Source organism: Homo sapiens, chromosome 5 (genome assembly GCF_000001405.40).
Source record: "Homo sapiens chromosome 5, GRCh38.p14 Primary Assembly".
Taxonomy (NCBI): domain Eukaryota; kingdom Metazoa; phylum Chordata; class Mammalia; order Primates; family Hominidae; genus Homo; species Homo sapiens.
In genome coordinates, this window is record NC_000005.10 from 24633825 (window position 1) to 24649720 (window position 15896).

Below are 15896 nucleotides of genomic sequence, written 5' to 3' on the forward strand. Positions count from 1 at the left end.
TTTCAATGCTTCCAAGTGCAATGTTCACTTGGAAAAACGTCTAAAGCCAGAAAACATTGTGTACTATAGAACAATAATTCTCAACATGACCACAAGGTGGCTCTCAACACCGAAATATGTTATTTTCCCTCTGGACAAGTGAATAGAATTTTACCAGAAATATTAGCAGCAATTTACCCTATAAATGGGTCAATACTTCAAAAACGTAAATTCATCTCAACCCTCTGATCACGTTGTGAAGCCTAATTTATATTGTTTTAAACTTCAGACATTCAAAAAAACACATGAAATGGTTGAAAACCTTTAAAGAATTTGAAGGATTTTGAAAAGAAATGATTATTTCAGTAGTCTGCATAATTAATTATTCAATAACCATTTCTTGGGCTTTAAAAATTAATTTCTCCTCTAATTTTGCACAATGTTATTCTCACTTTACTTCCAACTAAATGAAAGCAAAATAGATGCAAGTTAAACTTTTTCTCTAGTATGATTAAAGAATGTGAAACTTAAAGAGAAAGTATGTCAAAGTTTTTAGCCTTTGTAAAGTCCAATTCTAAAAGTATATATACATTTAGATGATCAATTATACTAAATGTAAAATGTGTGTAATATTAATAGAATATTTTAAATTAGCCATCCTGATGAATAAGCCATGAGGTTAAATTATTTTGCCAAATATTATAGTGAAGTTGTGAAAAAAAACAATCCTATAAAATGGCCACAGCATTTAATCAAGATGATAAGAAAAAGATAACTGTGACTCTGATTAAGCAGATAATACATGATTAAAGAGATAATAAATGTAAATATATAGCTATGGCAAATACGAGCATTATCTTTACTATGCTCACCAAAGTATAACTTTCAGCTAGGTTTAGGAGTCTCTATTATAGCTTACCTCATCTTTACAAGTTATTGGACAAGATGAAGTGCTAAGTATGCCCTACCAGTATGTGAATGTATAAATAATATATTAATTATCCCTGAGCTATAAATAAAACTGAAAGAAAAAAACTGTGATATAATCCTGGATTTTTAAAATAAAGCTTTTAAAAACGTATTTATGAACCCATATAAATGTATATTTTATGACCTCAATGTATGTTTTCATGTGTTTATGTAATCCGTAGAAACCATTCCAGATGCTTTTTAAATTAACATATAAATAGAGCCAAAAAAGGAAAAAAAAAAAACAGAAACAGTGGTTTCAAATTGATCTTCATATCACCTTGAATGTGAAGAATGAAAAGAATGATCTAAATAAAACCTGTTAAATTTTTCACATTTTGCAGCAGGTTCTATGTCTTCATCAGACAGTTTCAGGGACCTCGTCTAGGTAATCGGTAGTCCACTGACCTTTCAGCTTGTAATATAGACTGCAGAATTATTCTTGAGATTTATAGGTATCAAAACGTTAATGGAATAATTTCTGTAATGCACTGCCTCTGTTCACCATTCTTTTTCTAATTCTCATTACTCTGACCTCAAGAAGGAGAATCTGAGAAAGGAAACATTACTGCAGTGTATTCAGAAATGGCTCATGTTTCACCTGAGTGAGTTTATGTGGCTCATGGACCTCACAACAGTTAGTCTCACTCTTTCTTATGCTTTTTTCCTCCTCTCGAGTCTTTCCTATCGTTTTCAAAATTCGTATCCATCAATTCCCTACTTCATGCAATGCCTCTCTGAGAATGCAATTTAAGTTTTCAGGTTACATTCAAGTCTTTATGCAACTGACATTTTCACTCTTTCTTATGCATTTTTCCTCCTCTCGAGTCTTTCCTATCGTTTACAAAATTCGTATCCATCAATTCCCTAGTTCATGCAATGCCTCTCTGAGAATGCAATTTAAGCTTTCAGGTTACATTCAAGTCTTTATGCAACTGACATTTTCACAATCATTAGAGAATGAATATATTTATAAAAGTTTTATATTGAGCCCTTTCCAATTACAATCATAGACTTATGAGCCCTTTCCAATTATAATAATAGATAAGTCAACTGTGTGCCTGGAAATGTTTTGGTTCAAACTCCCACTTTTCCAAAAATAAAATTCAGAATGAAGAATTTATTACATTGTCCGTAGAATTAGTAAGAGAATTAGACTTAAAACACCAAGAATTTCTCACTTCAAGTACAAAATTATTACATAATACAAGTTAAAATATTTAAATATTTTAAAGTTGTAGCCCTAATGATATTAAGTGCTGTGGTAAAAATACAACACACTCAATATTCATTAAGCATAGGTCACATGAATTAACATCTAATAATAATACAAATGACAGTAATAGATAGCACTAGAACACCTATTGTGTATTAGGCATTGTTGTTAGACACTATAGTAATTGCTTATTTTAATCATGACAATTGTCCTATGATGTAAGTATAATTATTAACCCCATTTTACAGATAGAAAAAACTACCAGTGACATTAAATATGAAACATATGGTAAGTGGCACAGCTAGGATTTAAATCCAGACAGTCTGGTGCCACGATCCATGCTTTTATCTGTCAAAGGACCTTGTGAGAGCACTTACGTTAGGTTGATTGCATTTTCTAAGAAAGGAAATCTCAGTGCTTCTAGAATGTAGGCTTATCACTGTGCAGTCTCCTATTAAACATGACCTTCCTCTGGTGTCCTCACAAAAACAGACTATTATATAGAAGAGTCTTTTTCACAGTGACCAAGTTTTAAACACAGTGGCTTCTATGAAGTGCTTATTTTCATTACTTTAGGAATAAGGAAGCTCCTGTTCGTAAAAATTTTCTGTATACCAAACTCCCATAACACACAATACACCTATATAACAAACCTGCACATGTACCCCTGAACCTAAAATAAAAGTTAAAAAAAGAAAGAAAACAAAAAAATTAGCAATAGAAATTTGGGATACATTTGGCCTCCTGATACATAATTCTCCTGTAGGTTTCTTGATGGGGATGGGTATATTAGTCTCAACTTTGGGCCCTTGCTTTATCCCACATAGTCCCCTGTGTCTGCAAGATGATAACTGGCTGTTGCAAATTTGAAGTGCACCACGGATCACCAACCAAAAGGCTGCTCCTAAGGGAAGCACCAATTCAAAATCCATTCTCAGGGATTAACTAAAGAAATCTTAGGCTACACAAAAATGTTATCTTGAACCAAACTGTTAACTCTGATATTTTCTTTAATGATATGGTATGGCTATAAATGCAACAATGCAGCTTTAAAAATATAGATAAGTGAGATCCTTATATTAGTCACTTTAAAAGCACCTAGTACTTATCTTTCTTGTATTTATCAAAGCTGGAATATAACAAGTCATGTGATTATTCATACAATGGCTCACAGTAGCAGAGACTTTTGTTTCTTTCTCCCTCTTTCCCTGTCTTCCCAAGTTTGTCTTTCTGGATGCTTGCACAGTGTCTGGCTTATGGTAGGCACTTAAATAATACTTGGCAAATGAAGGAATGAAAGAACGGATGAATAAATAAAATGCTTTTGAGGGGTTTCTTCAGCAGTATATCTAATGGAAGATGAAAACTTAAGACTGTGGTAGGTGGAGGAATACATGACTGCCCATGATGTTCTACCATCTAATTCTACTACTATTTCATAAAAATGGAAACATTTAGAGCACAACTACTGATATTTCCATTGTAAATTATATTACATTTAATTATAAATATCTCAGATTAGAACCTGCCTCTTCTCAAGGACAAAATTTGTACTAAATTCATCCTTGTATCTCCAGGTGTGACAGAAGGGAATGCGTCACAGTAACTTCCCCCAAAATGAGTGAAATTAATTAGGAGCTAAAGAATAATTGAGCAAATTATTGTATAGATAACAGGATACCAGTTAAATTAATAACAGAAGCTGCAAAATAAAAAGTATAACACATATAATAATAAATAGCAACATATGATAGCCTAAAATCAAAAGAGAGTTATTTAATGATTGTGAATTTTGAATTCATAGTACTGAGCCCCTAAGTACTATCAAAAATTTCAAATTTCCCTAAGGGTGTTTCTGGAAACAGCGGTTCCTATGCAAAGTTTCATTTTGCTTTAATGAAGTACAAGGCTCTCCCTCATCCACACTTTTTTCTTCTTCGACCTACCTAGAAACAGGCTTGATCTAGCCTCTACTTATAAAGCAAAGTGATTAATTTCATTGCTCTTAAGTCAAGATTATGGTTGCCATTCATCTATTTTCTCATCTCCACTGGGCTGGATTTCAGATTTCATACTCTATATGATGGCAAATCTAAGTCCAAGGGGAGAAAAAAAATTAGTAAAGAAAATATTTTTCTCAACTTAGATTTTAGGAGTATTTCATTTCTGCCGTTTTTTTAAGTATCGATAGCAAGTACTTATGCCTATTCCCAAGTTAGTGAAGGCTTATTAATTAATTTTTAAAATATTATGTAGAACTATCTAGTATTAACTATTGAAAATTAGGATATATATTTTAAAAGACAGTTAGCTAGAAGACAAGAAAGTCTCAGAAAAAGTAGAGTTCTCATTTATCATTTTTAATTGCATACAGCAAGAAGGGGGGGAAGTCACTTCTTTAGTGTAGAAATTCTGTAGAAAACCTCCACTCTTCACTCAGTAGTTGAAAACAAAAAAAGGAAAAAGAGACAAAGTGACAGTGCCTCTAAGTATATGTCTGTGCTTAGGATTCATTTTTTAACTCATCTCCAAAGGAATAACTAAAGTCTTGGTTGAGGGGGTAGATAAATAAAGATTTTCTGTAAGTTTCTACTCATGGAGAAATATTCAAATTTAGGGAGCCAAATGCAGGCAGAATAAATCTGCATGTTGCTGTTTTTCACTCTTCAGGGACTACATGTTGAAAAATCACTCTGGTGACAAAATATGGTTCAAGACTACAGAGCAGGACTAACCCCCAACTTATAATGCTTTAAGAAGAAGTCAAAAAAGAATAGAAAATATATTATAGTTGACTAAGCTAATAGATAATCATTGGATAATCAGCTTCTTATTTGATGTAATAAGTTGACATATATTTTACTCCAATAGTTTCTTTTCTTCAGGTCATCACCAAAGCAAATCAATATCACACTGTTGGTTTTGAAAGTATGTAATTCATGTTTTTGATCTTATTAGCAATAGATTTAAACCACTTGAGTTAGAGGTATAAAAATTTTAACGTTTTGGTTTATTTAAGGAAAATATTTTATATAAAATAATTGATAAATACACTTTAGAGGTTGAAGATTTATATGGAAACACAAAACCCTTAAAATTCCTCAGGTAGCTAAATATTTTCAAATCTATCAAAAAATAAGCCTACTAATTTAAAATTTACCTTTAGAAGACAAATTATTTGGAAACATTATGGTGCCTCATTTAAATTTGAAGTTCGCTTCAGTAATTATGAAAATATTCCTTAATTCAGAAGTCCCAGAATTTACAATGGATTCAAAGGAAGTTTATTTGACTTAATTTTATTGAGAGTGGAGCTATATTTTTACGAAAGGAGAAACAGTTACATTTTAAAAGTTTGTATTAATATTATGTACAAAATTTACTCCAAATTTTCCAATTACTAGGGCAAATATATGGGCTGCCTTTGATCTATTCAGATAATGATATTGAATTTCAACTTTAATTCTTGTATTTATACATATTACATTAACCATAGAGAGAATTCCCAGTATAACTCAAGGTAGAATATTTAATGTATTCAGCTTATTGATTATTTCATTTTGTTACATATTATGCCTACCTCAATTATTGTTACAGTTTCTGTTTCCCAAATTTCCAACTGGAAACAAAAGCAATGGTAGTTCTTTACAACATTTGCTCATTATATACCAGATTTCATTTTTAGATTCTAAACTGGTAATACTTGTTTCTTGCAGCAAAGAAGAATCAACATGTCTAATGAAACATTGCTTTCTAGAAACATGTAATTTATGTTTATTTTAAAAATCAGGGCTCTGTCAAACCATTTCAATATCCTCTCTTATAGTAAATCAGTAAAGATTCCTAATCAATAACTTATGCATTGAGCATAATAATTCATGTCTGTACATTCTACATTCTGATAATTTGGAGGAGTCATTTCAATAATAAGTGCTGAATTCCCACACTTGGCTTGCTAGTGCAGTAAACTACACTGGTGCCAATTTCAACTCCTTAGAAGCCTCAGTGTTATAAAATTTATAAAAGAGTTGCTTTCATTTAAAAGAATAGATTCTAGCCAACTGAACTGTCATATACTTTGTGCTATAATGCAAAGGATAGTGTAATAAATATAATGTATAATGTGGCAGATGATAGAATACTGGCCATAAAAATCACAAGATTTACAGAAATATAACTTTACAACAGGGCAATTTTTTTTAAAGCACATGGGAAATTTAATCAAGGAGTTTTGTAATTGTTTTAAATGAGGAAGGAGAGAAAAGGAAAAAAGAGAGGGAGATGGAAATAGATATAGATTTGCAGAAAGAGAGATGGGGTAGAAGAGAGAGAGAGGGAGAAGATGACCTGCTAAATTTATGGGGATCAGCAGGGCTCTGAAGTGTTTAGAAATGTCATTTATTGCTGAATTTCCTGTTGTGAAGCAATGTTGTATTATATCTTATAGTCTATTGTTTAATTCTGTCCTGAATCTTGAAATGTCATTTAACTTTAATTTATATCATCACATCATATAGAGTATGTTGAATCAAGACTACTTTCTTGAAAAAAAAAAAGAAAAGATTGAAAATTGAAATCATGTGATTTCGTAAAGTGCTTATAATGTTTCTGACAAACTCTCTAAGGATACGAAACCCTTTACTGAAAGGCATTTTTATATGAAGGCATTTCAATCTCCCACAGGCAGGCATTATTTTGAAGGAATGCTACATTTTATTTCCTAAAATGATGTAAAATGTGATTTTATTGTATTCCTTCTTATTTAATTTGCAGCTTTCCCTTTCTTTAGTTCCATAATGTTTAACCAATGTCTCTTAAAGTGTATAGGTCATCACATACATTGCCAGAAAGAAATCAGATAAAAATATAAAGAAACTGATGAAAATAAAGCACTTTCATTCTTAAAAAAATCAAGAGTTACTTTTTTGTGAGAAGTTGCATTGATAAGAGAGTTAAGCAAAAGTTGTATTAATAATTTTTAAACAGGTCAGATTATTTCAACTCATCATTGTTAATATTTCATTAAGAATAATACATTCCCAGAAATCTACAAATTTAATGTGATGGGTCTTATTTTTTGACAATATGTGTCTACAGTTAGTTCAAGTGAGTGATGACAAGAAGGTATGGGAAAAGCAAAATGGACTTATACGCTTTAGGTGCCCTTCTATTCAAGAAAGACAGGAGAAATGGATTATAAAAGGGCTCAAGGGCTCATACTAAAATGTCAAGTGAGGTGAGACTGCTCTACAGTCAGAAAAGAAGAGGGCACAGGCGACCCAGAGCTGATATTGTTATCTTAGAAAACAGGCATTGCTTGGTAATTGTTTGAAATTGTTTCTTGTTCTTATGCATGAAAAAAAAATCTGTAATTTTGAAGGTTGAACTTATTGGGGTAAATGCAGAAAATTATATGAATGCTCCGTGAATATCATCCAAAGGTTTCAACTAGAAAGGAAAAAGGCAGATTTTCTTTTAAATTTAGGACTTGTATTTTTTCTGTAGATTTCAGATTATTGTAATTATGACAAAACAATATATTTTTGTGAACTCATTGGTCTGTGTAAGTGTCAAGAAAAGATAAATAGATTTGTCTGTGCTAACTTTCAGTTTTTCAAATATGCATCTATAGTGTCATTCCGAGAACGCTTCTTTTTACTACTTAAAATATCATAATATGAACCATATATTGTACTTAGTATAACGCTTAATCAATTTTACCATTGCTCAGTATACGTTTAAGAAGGATGAGGAAATGTTTCTTGCTACTTGGTTTTTAACTTCAATCTATTCCAGACATGACTGTTAAATACAATATGGTTAGTAAGTTGTCTCTTTTGAAACCCTATTCCAGATAATATGTTGGGTTAATTGAAAGTAGAGTTTTCAAACATAGACCTGAAATTTAGAGATCAAATATCTGCATAAAATTACTTATAATTGGCATAAATAATTTTACTGTTTTTCTATTTATAATTTCAGTATTTTACAAGTACTTCTAATGTGACAGCAGTATTAGAATGTAATTTGCATAGTAGAAATCAGAATATAATATGGCTAATGCTTTTAATACCCAAGGGCTACACTAGAGATAGTTGGGTTTGCATCACTGGTTTGTATTAATTGCTTACTATGAAACACTATTACTGATAATAACACTTAACAAGAATATGGTTCACTTTGCTGCTGATTCAGCATCATCAGAGCCAATACTGCTGCTGTGCTGCAGCCTAGTGGAATGATTTGGTATAAAAATGACATATTCCAGTAAGACGTGTTATCACTTACTGCAAAGTAGGTTAAGAGACATAGGAAATCAGTCATAAGCACAGAAATCCCCCAGATAGTATATACTTTGCCTCAGTTATTTGCTTATATAAAAAATTAAGTAAAGGTCAAGAAATTCACCCTATTTTTTATGCAAGATTCATATATTTTGGAATTAACCTTTCCAGTTTCAAGTAGTCTATTTTTCAACAAGAAAAAAAACATACCTCTTCCAGATTACACTAACTTTGTAAATAACGTGTCAGAAATATCACTCTAAATTAAAATCAGTTTTGTATCCTCTCTTTTTCTTTTTTAAAGAAAATCCCAGTGTGGGTAAAAATCTAACAATGAAATATTAAATTGATTACCTGCATAGCACTGTTCTAATTAATAAACAGTTTCTATAAACATCAAGGAACATCACCTAGAGCATTAATCAGGTACCAAACAATTTAACCATTGACTTCACACATATGCATATGTAGGTGGATGCTCATACAGTTTACCTTCTTTTTTCCCATTTCCCAGAGATTTTGGTTTTGTTTGTTGTTTTTTTTCCCCCAAACCTTTAAGTGTATGAAATTCTATTCTTTGATTGAAGTCAGGGAAGGCGTATGCATTCACCAGAGAAGTCAATTTGTTCACAGCAAGTATTTGAAACCCAAGAAGTATCTGATTTAATGAAAGCAGACATTGACTCACACTTTAATAACACAGCCAAAAAAAAAAAAAGTGAAAGAAGTATTTCTTTATATTTTTATCATCAGAATGGGTTTGCATCTGACGTGTCCCTAAGGCACAGATCCACGCTGTTTACACCTGTGCACTCTCCAGTCTCTTCACCACATCCCTCCCCAAATAAACCATTACTTCCTTATGCATTGCACATTGAATACATATGTGCCACATTTAGTACACTCGGGGGAGCGGGGTGCAGATTATCTATGCGACTTAGCATTTACCTGTGTTTCTAGGACATAACCTCTTTCTTTCTTCTTCATCACTTTTAACTAAAAATGAACATACGGCTCTGTCAATGACATAATGTTTTCATGAAAGTTCTACTAATTAAAAATCCTCACCATACCAGACCTAAAAAATGAGCACACTCTTGCCAAGTGTTATTCACCACAGAGAAGCTCTTGTAGCTACGTTTTAAAGGAAGATAGAGAGGGGGATGGTATGGAGGGAGAAAGTCTACTAACATATGCATTGAAGTATAACAGTTGTCAACATCAGAAGGACAGATTATTTTTAATACAGATCCTTCAAGAAAAAAAAAAAGAGGAGAAAAAATAATGTATCTCCAAAGAGCTGAGAAGTAATGGATGTGCAGTTTTGGATAATAGAAGCTTTCACTGGAATGAAGGAATGAAGGACCACAATTATAGGAAACATCTGTTTTTTCAAAGCAAAAGATGATAGGTCATTTTTAAAACAATATTTGTCTTTGTACCTGTAGACTCCCCTTTTTTCATAATAAGGAGACAGTAGGTTTTTATTTTAGTGGCATAAAAACAATTTCAGACTACTGCTTTTGCCCATAGTTACAGTGCTATCAATAGTTACTTGTTGGGGACATGCATTTATACTTGCAATATGCTGCATTAATTTAACAACACATAAAATATGGATTTTATTGCAGCAGAAACAATAAATGCTGCAACTGCTGACTACATGCATTTACTCTCCCTCTCTTTACCTCTCTCCCCCCAATACTTCTGACTCAGATATAAAATTGAAAATAAGAATTCTGCCTATTCTATTTCTGATGAATGTCAATCTATTGTATTTATGTAGATGCTTAGTGACCATTGACAGTTTCAAGGAATCTGTCTTCTGCCTGTCATTTCTGTTTATATTGAACGTACAATGAACTATGACTACGAATAAGTGCAGAGTGAATCCATTCATATGGAATGCAAAGTAATGTTAGATGATGTTAGAGTTCACAGTAACAATGTTATCTCTTGAACTGATTTTTAAAATAAAAATGAACAAGTCTGGGCATGACAAATTCACTTCATAACATATTTTTTAGCATTTGTTCCAAGTGAATGAATTCACAAACTCTAATATCATGACCCACTGTTGAGCATAATATATAATTTATCCAGCTTTACATTGCCTATATAGATATTCGAAGCAGTTGTTTCTAGAATTAAATATATAGAGTTGTATGCTTATTTAAGTATTAAAGATAATTATTTTGAAATAATTGCTAAACACAACTTAAAAACAAACATTTATCTCCTCCCTCTCCCCCCCCACCCCTCAAGTGGAGGAATATATAATACCTTAACGGAGTTAAAAGAAAGAGGTGAAGTCTTCCTACCTTTTTTATCAGCTTCTGGATAATGGAAGTTGGTTCCAGCCAAAATAACCCAGGAGAAATTGTCACTATGTCCCCTTTTTGTTTGTTTTCGGCTGTTATTTTCTATCACTGATTCTACTTCAATCTAACTCAAGCTCTTTCTCAGCATCACTTTTAACTCTGGACAGCAGGGAACCGAAGAAAACGGGGGCGAGCTCTCTCTGATTGGCTTTCATTCAGTGCTTCTGATTAAGGGGAAAGGAAAAAAAAAAAAAAGGAAAGGGGGGAAAAAAGCTCTTCCTCACACGGAGAGAAAGGTTCTGCTGATAGAGCTGCAGCACTCGCCATGGGAAGGTTAGAGACTGTGGAAGTGCTGGCTTCTGCGAGCACACAGCGATTTGCAAGTGAATGCGAGGGGAGGGCGCATCCGAGAGGAGGGCTTTGCTTGAAAGGCGTCCCCTCCCCCGCAGGGCAGAAAGACTCTCTGTTTCAAGGCTAAGGTAATCAGCCCAATCTAATCCGCCTGTGTCCGTAATACAATCTCAGGAACAGGACTGCTTCTTGCAATTTTTTTTAAAAAAAGATAGTTCTTCTGGAATATATATTCCTGCACCGTCCTTACACCAGACTACCGAAATCCAAGTATTATCAGAGCGCCAAGTCAAATTGCAACCAGATTTGATATGTTACCAGAGTGATTTTTCGTTGTGATTTTAAATGTTTATTTTTTGCTTTCAGGGAACTTTCTCGGCTTGATTTTCCAAATCCCTTCTCTTGTTGCTTATTGTCACAGGAGTGCATACCTCGCTCATCATTTTGGAATGTCCGCGAGCCAGTCTTCTCTGCCTAATCTTTGCATTTTAATACTTTATAGATAAAATATTTTATTAAAAATGTAAATATGTAATTAGTGTTATTAAAATATTTAGACTTTGAACTTGACACAGTCTCCTTTTTTTTCTTTTTAACGTTGTTTTTTCTCATAAATACGGGTTTCATACCCAAATGAGTGTGTGGACAGATGTAAATACATTTGGATTGTTCTATCTACTTAAACATCTAACTGTCTCGCTATTTATCAATCTCCACATCAAATTGCAATCAACCAAACCTTACCAAAGGATGTCAGTATAGCTCCACAAAGTAATTAACATCTTTGCATTTTTCCGGCTACAGGTAGATTCCTTTTAAAGTGCCATCCATAAATAAATTATATACACATATACATACATATATGCATATAAATACATATATGTCAATTATAGTTTTAAAGCTAGAGGAGAAATTACGAAGATCATTTTGGGCTGTTATTATTATTATTTCTTTAGCAGATAAAAATGCTCAGAATGTTAAATTGTCACAGGACTAACTGGAGGCGGGGTCAAAGCTGTAATACCACACTCCTACTTCCAGTTTAGTATTGTTTCCGGTTGCCATACTGCCTCCTCTGTACCTGTTTGATCATTCTAACAGTCAACAGGCCCCTTACATAATCAGCACAATGAAAAAGGAAGAAACTCAATCTGAGGGGCAAAAAAGAAGTGAGAGGGAGATTCAAAATTAGATTCCAAAAAGGTTTTAATGTATCACAGTGTTATTATATGATGAATTTTACCAATTAGTTTTATATTTGAAAACACCAAACATTTCCACTGAGCTGAACAGCTAAATGACATTTAGAGCAGAAATGGACTTTTGAAACTCTTAATTTTACAGACGATGGCATTAAGATCAGGAAAATTTTATGGCCCCTCTAAAGTTTGATAATAATAGAGCTAGAATTCTGAATTATCACCGTATCATTTGCCCATAGTTTTTGTTATGTTTTGTATGTTTTCTTCGACAGGGTGCCTTAATTTCAGAGTCAAGTGAAAATAGATATTCAGTTTTTTACCTCTGATACGTATATTTGTGTGTATTTGTGTTTGCCTGGTATATGTGTGTATTCAATATAATACTGTTATTGACATGTTAAATTAGCTATCAAGAGAAATTTATAATATTTAATTAAATGCAGCAGGTTAGGTACACACACACACATTGTTCTCTTATTAAATTAACTATTTCCATATGTTTGTTTAGTGCTAATTTCAAAATGTATGACTACATAATGTGAAGAATTTGGGGGTTACATTTAAATGGGTCGAGAAAATAACCAAAGGCTAAGATCTGAGGTAAATTGCTATTTTATTAATTAGAATACATGTTGAAATGATGTATTCCCAAAATAACATTTTCTGAATTATATAGTTTATGCTTCTCTTACATAGGTTTTTGGTTGGTGTGTTTATTCTGCCCTGTCTAGTCATCAGAAACTCAGCTTCCTTCTGTCTTGATGCTCAATGTTTTTAAGGAATTGAACTCATTTATATGATCCAGGAGAGATCACCACACATCTACCTTCTAGAAAAAGGAATAAAAGGAACAAGAGAAAGTTGCTCCCGTCCTTTGAAAAATGTGACCCTGAACATGTACATGTCACTTTCATGATCTCATTGGGTGGAATTTAGACACTTGGTCACACATTGTTGCTAGGGAGGCTGGGGATGTGGTATTTACTCTCACTATTTGCCCAGCTAAAGTCACTGGTGCTATTAGGGAGGTGACAGAATTGGGTACAAACAGCAGGATTGTCTATTATATTCATGTATTATAGAGTAGTATATTTGGTATAATGTACTTTTTTGGAGAAAAGCAAATTTTTATTCTAGTTTAAAATTAAAATTATGTTATAATGCTAGTGAAAGGTATCTATACAAAATAACGTTAATAATATTTTAACATTTATGAAACAATTGTCAGTTATTGCATTTTTTCTTTTTTTGATCAAGTAATATAATTAATAAATAATAGGCAAAGCATCCATGTATTCCAAAGTTCAGGGGATCTAGTTATAGATGTGAGAGAATGAAGAGGAAAACATTTGAACAATAAATGAATTAAACCCATTCACATTTTTCTTAATGCTCATCTTAGAAAGACTCTATATCTGAGATCAAATGCCATCCTATCGAATATACGCCCTAGTAATTAAAATTAAAATAAAGAATAAACAGAACATTGACTAAAATGTAAAACTTCTGACAATGGGTTTTGTTTTATTAAACAATATTATTTTTCATTTTCTTTATTTCACAATATAAATGAGTTAACTTAGGATTCTGCAAGTTTTTCTATTTCTTTATAATTTTCCCTCCAAATCTTATGTGAAATAGTCTTGTGAATTAGATAGGGTTTTCCTGTTGTTACCAATATCAGGAAACTGGTAGCACGTGGGAAGTGAAATGAATAAATGAAATGTAAAAGGGACAGTAAACTCTCAATGAAATGAATGGGTCAATATCTCGCAGAAATGTCCTTTAATATGAGGAGAGGCCATATATCAACTACAAGCAAATAAAAGTTAATGAAAACTTTTGCAAATATATTTCTATATACAACTTTTAAAACTAAATAGGAAATTGCACAGAAAATACCTTACTACAATCATACAGCACTAAGAAAATTTGAAAGCATTCTATTATTAATATAATAATGGGACTCAATGACGGCTGATCTCTTCATTGCAAATGTGAAAGATCCAATTTGAGTAAAATCAATTAAATGAAACAACCTTCCATTTTGTATGAAACTATTACATGCCTAGAAGTTGTCATGCTGTTGCTAAACAATAAGCTTAACTGCACAAGACTTTACTTGCTGAGCAGCTATGTGCTTATTTTAAAACACTAGCTTCTTAGCCACCCTTTCCTCGGTTTCTTTGAATGTTATGAAAAATAATATCAATTTCCATTTTCTGTTAGGAAGTTACTGAAACCTAGTTATCTCACTAAGTCTATGAAACAAAAGTAAAGAGTGTCCACATTGCTTCACTCTCCATAAATATGTTGGCAGAATAATAATTTGTCATAGTCTGTTTGACAACATTTTTGCTAAACTCCTTCTAGTCTGCCTTAAAGGACTGTACAGACTTGGAAAATTAAAAATCACATTTTCCTTACAGCTAGTGTTTGAGGTAGGAGTGGAGGGTGATTCATATTCAGTTTTTCAGATGCCCTCATCATCTTTAATTAGAAACAGAGTTAAATAAGCAGAAAGGCAAGATGCAAGGTATTTATTTCACTACCATAGTAGCTGAGGAAGCATGGTTTTGCAGTTACCATAATCTGGGGGCAGTATTGGGAGCTTTTTTTTTGGGAGGGGGGGACGGAGTCTAGTTCTGTCACCCAGGTTGGAGTGCAGTGGCATGATCTCAGCTTACTGCAACCTCTGCCTCCTGGGTTCAAGTGATTCTCCGCCTCAGCCTCCTGAGTAGCTGGGATTACAGGTGCCTGCCACCGTGCCCAGCTAATTCTTGTATTTTTTTATAGAGACAGGGTTTCACTGTGTTGGCCACGCTGGTCTCAGACTCCTGACCTCGTGATCCGCCTGCCTGGGCCTTCCAAAGTGCTGTGATTACAGATGTGAGCCTCTGCGCCCCGGCCTGGGAGCTTTTTGAACCAGGACAATGAATGTGTGATCCTGGGAGCTAGAAGTACTTTGATCTTCACCTAGTCCCTCTCTTTCTACTTAGGTTGTTAACCACACATCATTCAAAATTAAATTGTTATTTGTCTAAAATAGTGAGAGCGGTTTCTGTTATCTGCAACTGAACTGTTACTGATATTTTTCTACTTAATCATATCTCAACATTTCAAAAGTCCTATAACTTGAGGGTGGAAAAAGGGAGAATCAATCCTGAGAAAAAAATGAAGTGTCAAATAGTTAGCTATGTTTTAAAAAATGTAATCATTCTGACAATCAATAGTTAATTAAAGAACATATGATCTTAAATTTATTTTTGTCTCATGCCCCTTCTCTTTAGAAGTTACTATGCTCTCTGTGCTTTAGGTATAAAGGTTACTGCTTGCTTTCTTGACTTTTTTGGGAACGCAGAGAACAATACCTCAAAGTATGGTGCTTTGGTGTACTGAGCATGTTTCAATTAAAGGAAATTGAAAGGCCTTAGAAACTGCCTCAGAAGCAAGGACTTCTTCACCTTCTCTTGTTTCTTCCCCTCAAGTGTTCTCTCTGGAACTTCCCTTATCTAACTGCAGGGAGCCGAAGGCCCAAAGGCCCCTGGGACGTGACCAACTCAGCATTCCACTG

At 33.2% G+C, this 15896-nt stretch overlaps 1 protein-coding gene and 1 long non-coding RNA gene across 6 annotated transcripts in view, besides 1 other annotated feature; one reads left to right on the forward strand and one right to left on the reverse strand.

Annotated features, from left to right (window-relative positions):
* The window catches only part of CDH10 (cadherin 10), a 157879-nt gene extending 146725 nt beyond the window's left edge, over window positions 1-11154 (reverse strand). For all 5 annotated transcript variants that reach the window (NM_001317222.2, NM_001362460.1, NM_001317224.2 and 2 more), the window contains exon 1: window positions 10770-11154. The gene's annotated coding sequence lies outside the window, so the exon portion shown is untranslated. The remainder of the gene's footprint in view (window positions 1-10769) is intronic.
* Window positions 10851-11446: an enhancer, noted in NCBI's record as "OCT4-NANOG hESC enhancer chr5:24644784-24645379 (GRCh37/hg19 assembly coordinates)". NCBI's record gives its function as "activates a minimal SCP1, AML or CMV promoter by ChIP-STARR-seq in naive H9 embryonic stem cells {active_cell/tissue: H9 hESC(naive)}" and the evidence as "EXISTENCE:reporter gene assay evidence [ECO:0000049][PMID:30033119]".
* LOC124901174 (uncharacterized) lies at window positions 10885-11690 on the forward strand. Its single transcript, XR_007059125.1, has 2 exons — window positions 10885-11248; window positions 11487-11690. It is a non-coding gene; the product is annotated as an uncharacterized LOC124901174 (long non-coding RNA).
* The last annotated feature ends 4206 nt before the right edge of the window (window positions 11691-15896 follow it).